At 54.4% G+C, this 12,464-nt stretch overlaps 3 annotated features.

Moving 5' to 3' along the window:
- Window positions 108-607: an enhancer, noted in NCBI's record as "H3K4me1 hESC enhancer chr1:16400409-16400908 (GRCh37/hg19 assembly coordinates)". NCBI's record gives its function as "activates a minimal SCP1, AML or CMV promoter by ChIP-STARR-seq in naive H9 embryonic stem cells {active_cell/tissue: H9 hESC(naive)}" and the evidence as "EXISTENCE:reporter gene assay evidence [ECO:0000049][PMID:30033119]".
- Window positions 8,056-8,555: an enhancer, noted in NCBI's record as "H3K4me1 hESC enhancer chr1:16408357-16408856 (GRCh37/hg19 assembly coordinates)". NCBI's record gives its function as "activates a minimal SCP1, AML or CMV promoter by ChIP-STARR-seq in naive H9 embryonic stem cells {active_cell/tissue: H9 hESC(naive)}" and the evidence as "EXISTENCE:reporter gene assay evidence [ECO:0000049][PMID:30033119]".
- Window positions 8,605-9,537: an enhancer, noted in NCBI's record as "H3K4me1 hESC enhancer chr1:16408906-16409838 (GRCh37/hg19 assembly coordinates)". NCBI's record gives its function as "activates a minimal SCP1, AML or CMV promoter by ChIP-STARR-seq in naive H9 embryonic stem cells {active_cell/tissue: H9 hESC(naive)}" and the evidence as "EXISTENCE:reporter gene assay evidence [ECO:0000049][PMID:30033119]".

Consider the following 12,464-nt stretch of genomic DNA (forward strand, 5'->3'; position numbering starts at 1 on the left):
TGAAGGTCAGGGAAGGGGACAGAGGGGGCGGGGAGACTCCTGGCATTTGGGGCACAAAGTAAACAACATGAATTTAACCACACCAACGACGACTGGGCACGAAGGCTTGGGAGCGAGGAGGGGTGCGCGCAAGAACAACAGTTCCATTGGGCCTATTTTTAGAGGATGAAAGTGAGGCTCGCAGAAGTTAGAGGCCTTGCCTGAGAGCCCTAAGCTGTGAGTTCAGCGACTTTTGACTGTCAGCGCCTCATTCAGAGCTATTGAAATTAACATATGCAAAATAATATATGCCCAGAGGTGGGGTAGAGAGAGTGCGGGTAGATAGTGCGCTGGTGGCCTGGCGGCGGGATGAAGGGTCTCCAGCGATGGTTGAAGAGGGGGGCAAGGCTGCCTCTCAGGGCTTGTCTAGGGCAGAGTAAACTGAGGCACAGGTTTTTTTCCCCAGCCCTGGACGGCCTCTGTAGTCATTCACACTTACTCGCACGTACCTACACACACACTCTCCCATGTGTACATACCCCTCATTCACACACTGATGGTCATACACACACATATATATGCACACTTGCATTTACATACACGCACACACACTCACATACCTACACATGAATACACAGTCTCCCATGTGTACATACCCACTCACACCCACACAATGACAGTTATACACTCACATTGAAGCACGCTTGCATTTACACACACACACACACACACACATCCCAGCTCCTGAGGTGTGAAGATCCTTTAGCAAAATTTCCCATGCACACAGCACTCAATGTCAGTGTCTGAGACCCTCACTCACACATAGCATCTCGCTCTCTCCTTCATGCCCACCTGTGCATCAGGCAGGGCAGGCACTCTTGTGTCTGTTTTCCAGTTGAGGCAGCCAGGTTCACTGGTGGCAGCAGAGAAATGTTTTGAAGAATGAATAAGGAGGGGCCAGGCGCGGTGGCCCACGCCTGTAATCCCAGCACTTTGGGAGGCCAAGGCAGGCAGATCACTTGAGGTCAGGAGTTCGAGACCAGCCTGGCCAATATGGTGAAACTCCGTCTCTACCAAAAATATAAAAAATTAGCTGGGTGTGGGCTTGGCACAGTAGTTCATGCCTGTAATCACACCACTTTGGGAGGCCGAGGTGGGCGGATCACCTGAGGTCAGGAGTTTGAGACCAGCCTAGCCAACATGGTGAAACCCCGTCTCTACTAAAAATACAAAAATTAGCCAGGCATGGTGGTGGTGGGCGCCTGTAATCCCAGCTACTCAGGAGGCTGAGGCAGGAGAGTTGCTTGAACCCAGGGTACAGTGAGCCAAGACCATGCCACTGCACTCCAGCCTGGGCTACAAGAGAGAAACTCCATCTCAAAATAAATAAATAAATAAAAAGCTAGGTGTGGTGGCACAAGCCTGTAATCCCAGCTACTCGGGAGGCTGAGGCAGGAGAATTGCTTGAACCCGGGAAAGTGGAGGTTGCAGTGAGCCGAAATCGTGCCACTACACTCCAGCCTGGTCGGCAGAGTGAGACTCTGTTTCAAAAAAAAAAAAAAAAAAAAAAAAGAATGAATAAGGTTTGAGGCAGCAGCGTGGGATAGGGCTGGAGGCCTCTCAAGGGGCAGGATCTGGGCCAGGGCGCACTGCCAGAGCAGCTGAGCCAGGGAGTGGGTGCTGACTTCTTTCTCTTTCTCTAAGCTAGGTGCTCTCTGCCCAGTAAAGTCCGGGTGGAGAGCGGTTCTGTGCCTGGCCCTGGTGTCAGCAGACCTGGGTGAATGAGGGCTTAGCTCACACAAGCTGTGCGACCTTGGGTAAGTTGCTTCGCCTCTCTGAGTCTCAGATTTTTCATCTGTTAACTTAGGGTAAAAATCCCACCTCGTGGGATTGCTGTGAGGGCTGATGAAATTAATATATGCAAAATCACTGGCACGTAGTAGGTACTCAACTTAGGACTAAAAATAAATAATAGTGATAGTGAACACAAACAGGTATGATGTGTTATTACTCCACCACAGCTTCCCGACAGCCACAGGGAAGTCTGAGAACTTCCGTTCAACAGATGCATATAAAGCACCTACTGTGTGCCAGTGTGAACAAGACAAATGTGCCAATCCTTGAGTCAGCGCTGTATTCAGTCACAGTTGCTCAGAGCCCCCCTAACTGTACCCTCCAGGTCTGGCCTTGGAGAGGGTGGCTCAGAAAGGACAGCCTGCTATCACCTTGGATGCCCTGGTGCCAGGTGTGTGCCTGCCCTTGTGTGGAGAAGGAAAGGCGGATCTGCCTGTGCCAGGCTCTGGGGTCCCGTCCTGTGTGGCCTGGGCTTGTAAAGGCAGTGGTGTCCTTCTCTTCTTCCTGTCACGGAGTGACTGGATCTGGCTTGGAAGGAGGGCTCTGACTCACTATGACGCAGGATGCTCCGTCATGGCAGCTGATGCTCCCTGCTGGCAGCCTGACAGCTTTGGGGGTAGATGGGACAGGGAGAGGGACACTTGAGAAGACGACAGGGCAGCTCACAGGGGAGAGGATGCCTGGTCACCCCACTGTGCCCCATTTAGCCTAAGCCAGGGACAGGAGGGCAGGGCAAGGCAGTGGCCCCACCTAGGGTCCCTTGCTGACCCACTCAGAGATGTGGCTGGGCTGGAGATCTGGCTCTCCAGCCTCTGGTGTTCATGCTGGTCAGTTCCACATTGACTCAATCCTCTCCTTGTACACATTGGCACTCAGAGAGGGGCAGGGGCTTGCCCAAGGTCACACAGCAAATCAGTGGTAGAGCGGGGACTAGAACCCAGGTCTCCTGCCTCTCAGCCCAGCCCTGGCACCAGCCTGAGACCAGGCCACGCAGGGCCGGTGGCTCTCCTTGCACGCTCACATTCACCTTGGAATTCTGCTGAAGTAGACGATGTCCAGACAGCTCTGAGCTGTGTGGTTGTCCTCCCCGGGGCCACACTGTCCTTTCCCAGTTCACCCCATAGCCCATCTGCCCTGTGACCTTCCACTGCCCGCCCCCAGGGCCCTCTTTGCCATGCCGCTGCTGGGCTAGAGTGGAGAGGAGAGAGTGTCCAGGCTGTGCCCTTCACACCTAGCAGCCCATTCTCTTGCCATGATTTCGGGGATCCAGGCAGAACCCCCACTCCGGTGGCCTTGCTCCGAGCATGCATCAGCCCTGAGTGCCTGGCCCTGATTGGCTGGGCACTGGAGCGTGAAGAGGAGCTGCTGCAGGGTTTGATCAGAGAAAGATTAATCAAGGCCAACCATTACAGCGATGAATCAGACCAGGCCCTGCCCTGGCAGCCCTGGGGGTGGGGCGGGGACGCTGCAGGAGCCACGTGCATAAATAGCGCAGGGTCAGGGTGGACAGTGCTGCATCTCCATGCCAGCCAAGTGTGTGACAGGAGAGTCACTTCTGCCAAGGGCTATGGGGATGGCTTTCAGGCGATCGTGACCCTAGAAGCGGATTTTGAAGGTCGAGTGGGCTGTTGGTGGTAGAAGGCTCTGTGTGCACAAATGTTTGGAGGCAGGGGGCCACAGCAGACTGGCATATATGACATCCAGGGACCAGTGGGAGAGGGTGGGGCTGGACCCCTTCCCCAGGCCCCAAACATCGCAAGAAGGGCAGAGCTTGAAAAGCAGAAAGAGAACAGCATCAGAAGCCAGTCAGATCTGGGTTTGAATCCTGTGCCAAAACCAACATGCAGTAGATCCATGCTCAATAAGTATTTGCTGAATGAATGCGAGAAAGTGAGACTTGCCCAAGGTCCCATATCTAGAACGTGGGACTGGTTCAATCAGCCAGGACTGATTCAACCTTTCATTCATCCAGCAATTGCTCACTGAGCACCTGCTGTGTGACAAGCGCAGTCTGTGCCGAGATTACGACATGAATGAGACGGACAAGGGCCCCGCTCATTGGAGCTTATGGTTCTGGTGGGGGAGGCAGGTGTTAATTCAATAATGACCCAGATACATTTAGAATCACGGCCCTGGAAGCGCTCAGAAAGGAGCCCTTGAGAGTGAAGAAGAGGACTTCATCTGGTCCCAGGCATGAAAGGCACATCCAGAGAAATGACAATGACAGAGCCCACAGCTGATGGATGGGTGGGATTTAGCTAGGTAGAGAGAGGGGAGGGCCTCCAAGGCAGAGGGGCTGGGCAGAGAGGCTAGGCCATGGCCACGGTCCGGAGGTGGGAGGGAGGGACCAGGTCCTGGGAGGAGGATAGAGGTGGCAGCTCCTGCAGGGCCTCACAGTGGAATCTGGTCTTTGTCCAAAGCACATCTCTTGTTTCCTCATCTGTGAACCAAATCCCCCCTCCATTCATTCTCGGTGAGATGGAGGTGCACATGAGTTTCCAGGAGAATTCCCTGCTTTCTCTGGAGGTTTGGCCCTGCCTGGGGGGTTCCAGGGGCCAGGACTTGGGGCCTTTTGGTGGAGGCTGAGAAAGAAGGCCACAGGCTGACCTCAGAATGGGCCCACTTTCAGCTCCAGGCTCAGGACTGGGGGCTGCTGGCTGGAGTTGGGTGTCAGGTCATCTCCCTGCCTCACCCCCAGGCAACCAGCTGGACTAGGGAAAGAGAGAGAAGGGTAAACTCTCAGTCTGATGGGGGAGACAGAGCCCTCAGGGAGCTCCAAGTCTGACAGAAGAGACACGGCAACTGTGCTGGGCATGGGGACACTGAGGTGAGACCAGCCCCCTCCCTGGGAGCTTTCAGTCTGATGGGTAAAGAGGTGTTCTGGGCTGGGCACGGTGGCTCATGCCTGTAATCCCAGCACTTTAGGAGGCCGAGGCGGGTGGATCACCTGAGGTCAGGAGTTCGAGACCAGCCTGGCCAACATGGGAAAACTCAGTCTCTACTAAAGATACAAAAAAAAAAAAAAAAAAAAAAAAAAAAAGCCAGCGTGGTGACATGCACCTGTAATCCCAGCTACTCTGGGGGCTGAGACAAGAGAATCGCTTGAACCCAGGAGGCGGAGGTTGCAGTGAGCCAAGATCACGCCACTGCACTCCAGCCTGGGTGACAGAGAGGGACTCTGTCTCAAAAAAAAAAAAAAAAAAAAAAAAAAGAGGCGCCCTGAGTTCATCTCTAAAATGCCCGGCCCTGTCCTGGCCCATGGTGGCTGCTATGTGACAGGGTCCCTTCCTCAAGGTTCAGAGGGCTGGTACTCCAATTCCTAGATCTCAGGATCTCTGCAGGTAGAAGGAAGCCCCCCTGCTAGAACTGTTGCTTTTCCAGAGCTGTGAGTGTGAGGCAGCCGCTGGCCATCAGGGGGCAGCCTGAGACAGCATCATTCTCTGTTGCTTTCCTTTTCCTTCCTCCCGCCGTCTGCTGACCCAGAAAGTACCCTGCTGGTAACTCAGCCCCAGCCATGGCTCTGGGTGGTGCATGCTGCACCCTGCACAGAGGAGCCTGGCTGAGTGGGAGGGGACCAAAACCTGCCCGTGCTCTGGTCCCAAAGCCCTGAGCTCTACCGTTGTGTAGAGCTCTGTGTCTGCCCCAGGACAGGGAGGTTTTTTCCTAGCACAAAGGTGTCACTTCCTCTAAGCTGTGCACTCACAGGGTGCATCTACCCAGAGGGAAGGCCTTTTACAATTTTGCACAAAGTCTCTGTATAGCCTAGCCAGGCTCCTGAAGTCAGACAACACGTGGTCCTGACCCCCATTGTACAGATGCGGAGACTGAACCCCAGGAAAGGAACCAAGGCCAGTTAGGAGCACAGCTGGGACTGGAACACCACAGCCAGCAGGACCCGCTGCTCCAGTCTGGAGGAGTCAGGTGCTAGGTGTCACTTCTGGTGTCCTGGCCCCGCCTGGGGTTTCCCCGGGGCTAGGACTTGGGGCCTTTCTGGGGAGCCTGAGAAAGTCACAGGCCGTTCTCGGAATATGCCTACTCTCACTTCCAGGCTCCGACTGGAATTGGATGTTAGGTCAGAGCCCTCCCCAGGAAAGCAGGCTGGACTAGGTGGGATAGGCCGAGACAGAAAGTTGAGCCCCTAGTCTGATGGGGGAGACAGAGCCCTTAGGGAATTCCAAGTCTGATGCAGGAGACACAGCCATGCTGCCAGGCCCTGTCCTGAGCACTGGGAACACGGATGAATCCAGTCCCTGTGCCGGGGAAGCTCCTAGCCTGGTGAGTAAACAGGTGTTTACTCCCAGCCCCAGTGCGGCGAGAGCCCTGCTGACCAGGTCAAGCCATTAGTGGGAGCTTGAGGGGCAGTTTCAGGTGTCTGGGTTATTAACAGTGCCAATAATCGGCAGGGTGAGGTGGCTCATGCCTGTAATCCCAGCACTTTGGGAGGCTGAGGCGGGTGGATCACCTCAGGTTGGGAGTTCAAGACCAGCCTGACCAACATGGAGAAACCCCGTCTCTACTAAAAATACAAAATTAGCCGGGCACGGTGGCACATGCCTGTAGTCCCAGCTATTCGGGAGGCTGAGTCAGGAGAATCGCTTGAACTCGGGAGGCAGAGGTTGCGGTGAGCCGAGATCGCGGCATTGCACTCCAGCCTGGGCAACAAGAACGAAACTCCGTCTCAAAAAAAAAACAAACAAAATAAAACAAAACAAAACAAACAAACTAAAGAAAAACAGTACCAATAATCATCATGGCAGCTGAGGCCTTTCTGCGTGTCAGGAGCTGTCTGGAGACCCTTACCCTCCTGTCCTGTTTCACCCTCCCAGTAACTCTAGGAGGGGGAGAAGGTGGTCCAAGCCATCATCATGCTGGGGCAGCCCTTAAACTCTTGGCAGTCCCCTCTATCTTGACCTTCAGGGCGATTCTGAGCCTGGAAACCCCTGGGGCCTGAGCATCTCCCCCATTCCTGCCTCTGGACATTTGCACAAGCTGCACACCCTGTCACAATCAGTCCATACCTCACACATCCTTCGAGTCCCACAGAGGTCTTGCCTGTTTTACTCTCTGTTCACACCTTTATTCATCAAATATTGATTGAAGCAGCACCTACAATGGGTTATAGCTGACAGTGAACAGCCATGCTTGGCCTCCAAGGCAGAGGGAACAGCTCAGGCGGCAGCCATGGTCTGGAAGTGATCCAGCTGTCCTGGAGATAAGAGCAGGGGCCAGCAAACTATGGCCCATTGGCTAGATATGGCCAACAGTCTGTTTTTGTAAGCAAGGTTTTGTTTTATTTTATTTATTTATTTATTTATTTATTTATTTATTTATTTATCTGAAACAGAGTCTTATTTTGTCACCCAGCCTGGAGTGCAGAGGTACAATCTCAGCTCACTGCAACCCCTGCCTCCCTCATTCAAGCAATTCTGCCTCGGCCTCCTGAGTAACTGGACTACAGGCATGTGCCACCAATCCCGGCTAATTTTTGTATTTTTAGTAGAGATGGGGGTTTCGCCATGTTGGCCAGGCTGGTCTTGGAACTCCTTACCTCAGGTGATCCGTCCACCTCAGCATCCCAAAGTGCTGGGATTGCAGGCATGAGCCACCGCCCCCGGCCTAAACAAAGATTTATTGAAACATATCTACACCCATTTGTTTACCTATTGTCTCTGGCTGCCTCACACTCCCCCGACAGAGTGGTGTAGACAGAGATGACAGGGCCCTCAAAGCTGAAAATAGGCTGGACCTGGTGGCTCACGCCTCTAATCCCAGCACTTTGGGAGGTCAAAATGGGAGGATCACTTAAGCCCAGGAGTTCGAGACCAACCTGGGCAATATAGTGAGTACTTGTCGCTACAAAAAAAAAAAAATTTTTAATTAGCCACACATGGTGGCACGCGCCTGTAGTCCCAGCTACTCTGGAGGCGGAAGTGGGAGTATCACTAGAACCCAGAAGGTTGAGGCTGCAGTGAGCTCTGATGCTTAGAGTGTGGCAGAGGAGACAACATTAACAAGTCCCCGGAATAAATAATAAGTTGACAAATCCGAAGTGCCGGGAGGGGCACAACAGGGGGCAGGAACTGGCGCTCAGGGTCACACTGCTTAAGCATTTATTTTCACCTTTGGTCCCCCACCAGGTCAGCCAGGGCAGGGTGGGCTAGCAGACAGCATGCTGGCCCCTCTGAAAGCAAAGCTTTGGGTGGGGGCCTCCTCCTGGGTCGGTGTTTATGCCAGGCAGGGGTGAGGGTCCCGCCCAAATCTGCAGTAGGGGCCAATGTTCTGATCGCCACCTCACCTGGCCTCATCTGGCCTCACCTGGCCTCGTGGCCTTCACAGCGGTTCAGGAGCACTTCCCTGTCAGTCATCCCCTGGGAGGAAGGCAAGAGCAGGAAGTACAACTGGACAATACAGGCTCCTTATGTTCGATGACTTGGCCAAGGCCTTACTCCTTGCCTCTGTAGACAGAGATCTTGATGTCGTGGGAAAGCCCTGGATGGCATTTAGGACACCAGGGTTCTAGCCCAGGACTCATCCGGGCAAGTCTGTTCCCCTCTGAGCCTCAGTATGTTCATCTGTACCCTAGAGGGCTGGATGAATGGACCTGTAAGTTCTTTTCTGCAGCTGCCAGCAGCACGCTGGGGCTCGTCCCATCACTCTCCAGGCTTTGGTTCGTCTCTGTAAAATGGGGAGATGAATACTGGGCCCTCCCACACTTCTGAGGCGGGTCCCAGGCCAGAGAGATCACAGATGGGAAAGTGCTTTGAGCTCGGTGGGAGAAAGGAGCTCTATAAACCCAGGGGTTTATTAGATGATCCAGGATCAAGGAGGGCTGGTGGCCTGGAGGCCTTGGGTCAGTGTCTGGTCTGACCAGCAGAGGGCACTCTGGGGAAGCTGGGGCTGGTTCTAGGACTGGAATCCACTTTGTTCCTCTGAGAATACATGCTGAGGCCCTACTGTGTACCACGTCTGCTGTGCTGGGCATGGGGACGTGGCCATGAATGAATGGGACCCAAGGGGGTGGGGTGGGGTCATGGAGCAACCAGGCCTAATGCAGAGTGAGATGGGAGCTATGGTGGGGGCTAGGCAGGGATGGTGCCCGGGGCACCTCTGCCACCATAGCTCCCATCTCTCCTTAGTTGGGAGAGCCCAGGTCAGAGGTCTAGGCTGGAGAGCCAGAGGGGCAACCTGGAGAAGCAAGTGTGTGGGCTCTGGGGCCAGGCTGCCTGGGTTTGAATAGGGCTCTGCCACCTATGGTCAATTTCGTCCCCTCTCTGGGCCTCAGCTTCCTCACCTGCAAAGCAAGGATAAGAAGAGTACTCACCTCCCAGAGCTGCTGTGAGGACTGAGCAGCTAATCTTGGGTGACACCTTTTAGAACAGAGCGTGGCCCATGCAAACTCTTGAAATGGCATGGTTATGGCCTGGTGCCAGTGGTTTGGATGTTGCCGCCAGGGGCTTGTGCCCACCCTGGGGGAGACTGATGAGGACAAAGCTGAGGATGGAGCTGCCTGGAGAAGAAAGAGCGAGAGGCACAGCCTGGGAGATTTGGGGAAGGAAACACGACTTCGGGGGGAGGGTGCAACGAGGGGACAGAGGGAGTTTGAAGGAGGAGAGGGTAGCCAAGCACCCAGTGCAACCCCAAAATAAGCCCTCCTCCTGAGCCACCCCCTGCCAGCCCCTTCCTCAGCTTTCACTGAGTATATCACTGGGCCTCCCTGAACCTCAGTCTCCTCCTCTGTAAAATAGGAAAGTAGCACCCGTGTCACTGGGCTTCAAATGTTCCCTAAGACGACATGGCCCTGGGGGGACTCTAAATGCCCCCCTCCCACATAATCTTCTGTTGGAACCCCCTTGGCCCCAGGAGGGGCTGGGGCTGGCTCCGTCTCCACAACCATCCAGGCCTTTTGTTTAGAGAACCAGTCTAAGAGGAAAACCCCAAAAACAAACACAGCCCAGCTGGTGTCCCCTGCCCAGCCCTGCCCAGCCCTGCCCAGCCCTGCCCAGCCCACTCCTGCCCTTCCCACTCCGAGAAGCGGCTGGGCGGGGGGGTGGAGAAACTCACATTGTGGGAAAGTGTTTTTCCCAGCAGAGGTATGGAGGGGGCACAAGTCCAGGTCAGGGTGGTGCCAGCTGAGGGGTGGGCCCCAGGCCTCACCTGCCTTCGAGATGTTCCTTCCTAGGGGAAGAGCAGTGGGCAGAAGCCCCCCAGCAAGCTCACTGAATGTGTGGATTCTACAGTCCTGCCACCCCCACTCCTTGCCACCAGGTCCTGGTTCCCTGAGTTGGTAGGAACTTTGAGCTCCCTGCCGGGATGGGAGATAAGGGACTGATGTAGGAGGTCCCCAAATGGGGCTTTTTTCCCTTCTTGTAAAAAAATTCCGGCCGGGAGTGGTGGCTCATGCCTGTAATCCCAGCACTTTGGGAGGCTGAGGCGGGCAGATCACTTGAGCCTAGGAGTTTGAGACCAGCCTGGCCAACATGATAAAACTCCGTCTCCACAAAAATACAAAAATTAGCAGGGCCTGATGGCGCACACCTGTAGTCCCAGCTACTCGGGAGGCTGAGGCAGGAGAATCTCTTGAACCCAGGAGGCAGAGGTTGCAGTGAGCCAAGATCACACCACTGCACTCCAGCCTGGGCGACAGAGCAAGACTCTGTCTCAAAAAAAAAATTCTTCCCCAACTTTCCACTTTTTTTAAAGACAGGTCTTGCTTTGTCTCCCAGTCTAGAGTCCAGTGGCACAATCATAGCTCACTGCAGGCCCGAACTCCTGGCCCCAGCAATCCTCCTGCCTCAGCCTCCCAAGTAGCTGGGACTACAGGCACCCGCCGCCACACCCGGCTCCCTGAACTGGGCCTTAAGACCTGCTGGGAAGGGCAGAAGCCTCCAGGTGGGGAATGGTGAGAGGAAACAGGCTCCAGGACACGCTTTGTCAGGAAAGGGGAACTTCCACAGACTTAGAGGCCAAAGAGGAGGCAACAGTGGAAATTAGAAAGCCAGATGTGCGGGAGAGAAGAGGATGGGTGGGAGACACAGAGGGCGAGCGAGACAATTAGAAATAAACATTCCTGGCCAGGCACGGTGGCTCACACCTGTAATCCCAGCACTTTGGGAGGCCGAGGAGGGTGGATCACCTGAGGTCAGGAGTTCGAGACCAGCCTGGCCAATGTGGTGAAACCCCCCCCCATCTCTACTAAGAATACAATAATTAGGCTGTGCACAGTGGCTCATGTCTATAATCCCAGCCCTCTGGGAGGCCAAGGCAGGTGGATCACCTGAGGTCAGGAGGTTGAGACCAGCCTGACAAACATGGAGAAACCCCGTCTCTACTAAAAATACAGCATTAGCCGGGCATGGTGGCACATGCCTGTAGTCCCAGCTACTTGGGAGGCTGAGGCAGGAGAATCGCTTGAACCTGGGAGGTGGAGGTTGCGATGAGCCGAGATTGTGTCATGGCACTCCAGCCTGGGCAACAAGAGCAAAACTCCATCAAAAAAAAAAAATTAGACAGGTGTGGTGGCACAGGCCTGTAATCCCAGCTATGTGGGAGGCTGAGGGAGGACAATTGCTTGAACCTGGGAGGTGGAGGTTGCAGTGGGCCAAGATGGTGCCATTGCATTCCAGCCTGGATAGCAAGAGTGAAAGTCCATCTCAGAAAAAAAAAAAAAGAAAAAGAAAAGAAAAAAGAAATAAACATTCATATGATTCTGTACCTGCTGGGTGAGGCTCCTCATGAACATTGTCCCTTTTCGTCCTCACGACCAGCTGAGGAAGTGGGATTATTTAGAGGATGGTTGTGCGGATAAGGAAACTGAGGCTCTAAGAGGCAAGTGCTAGGATTCCAAATTCCATCGCCTGAGAGGGCATCCAGAGCACAGGTCTCCATATCTCGAGGTGGAGATAGGAGGGGAGGAGGAGAGCGTGGGTCAGCTGGGCTGGGGCTGCTCCCTCTGTGGACCCTGGGCTTCAGGGTTGAATTGCTGCTGACACTTCCAGGGCCTGGCTGGGCCAGGATGGAGTTCAGGGCTGAGTGAAGGCAAGGTCAAGCCTTCTGATCCTGGAGGGCTGGGGGTCGTGGGCTTCAGGAGTGTTTGCCAGGCCTCGGACTGAGGAGGGGAGAGATGTGGCTCTGGGGACGGTAGTCACTTCCTCTTCCCTTCAAGGGAGCCTCCCAGGCCCTGCCAAGGAAGGACTGCTCCTCCCCATGTCCCTGGTTCTCACCAGAAACCTCAGCAGTGCTCTTAGGAAGTCCCGCTTTGGGGACCCACTTTTCTGGGGACACACCATGGCACTGTCAGGTGGAGAGTCTGGGCTGTGCCTTTTTTTTTTTTTTTTTTTGAGATGGAGTCTCTCTCTGTCACCCAGGCTGGAGTGCAGTGGCACAGTCTCAGCTCACTGCAAACTCCACCTCCAGGGTTCAAGCAGTTCTGCCTCAGCCTCCCAAGTAGCTGGGACTACAGGAGTGTGCTACCATGCCTGGCGAATTTTTGTATTTTTAGTAGAGATGGGGTTTCACCATGTTGGTCAGGCTGATCTCGAACTCCTGACCTCAAGTGATCCACCAACCTTGGCCTCCCAATGTACTGGGATTAGAGGCATGAGCCACGCCCGGCCACTTTTTTTTTTTTAAAT

The sequence above is a fragment of the Homo sapiens genome, chromosome 1, assembly GCF_000001405.40.
Source record: "Homo sapiens chromosome 1, GRCh38.p14 Primary Assembly".
NCBI lineage: Eukaryota > Metazoa > Chordata > Mammalia > Primates > Hominidae > Homo > Homo sapiens.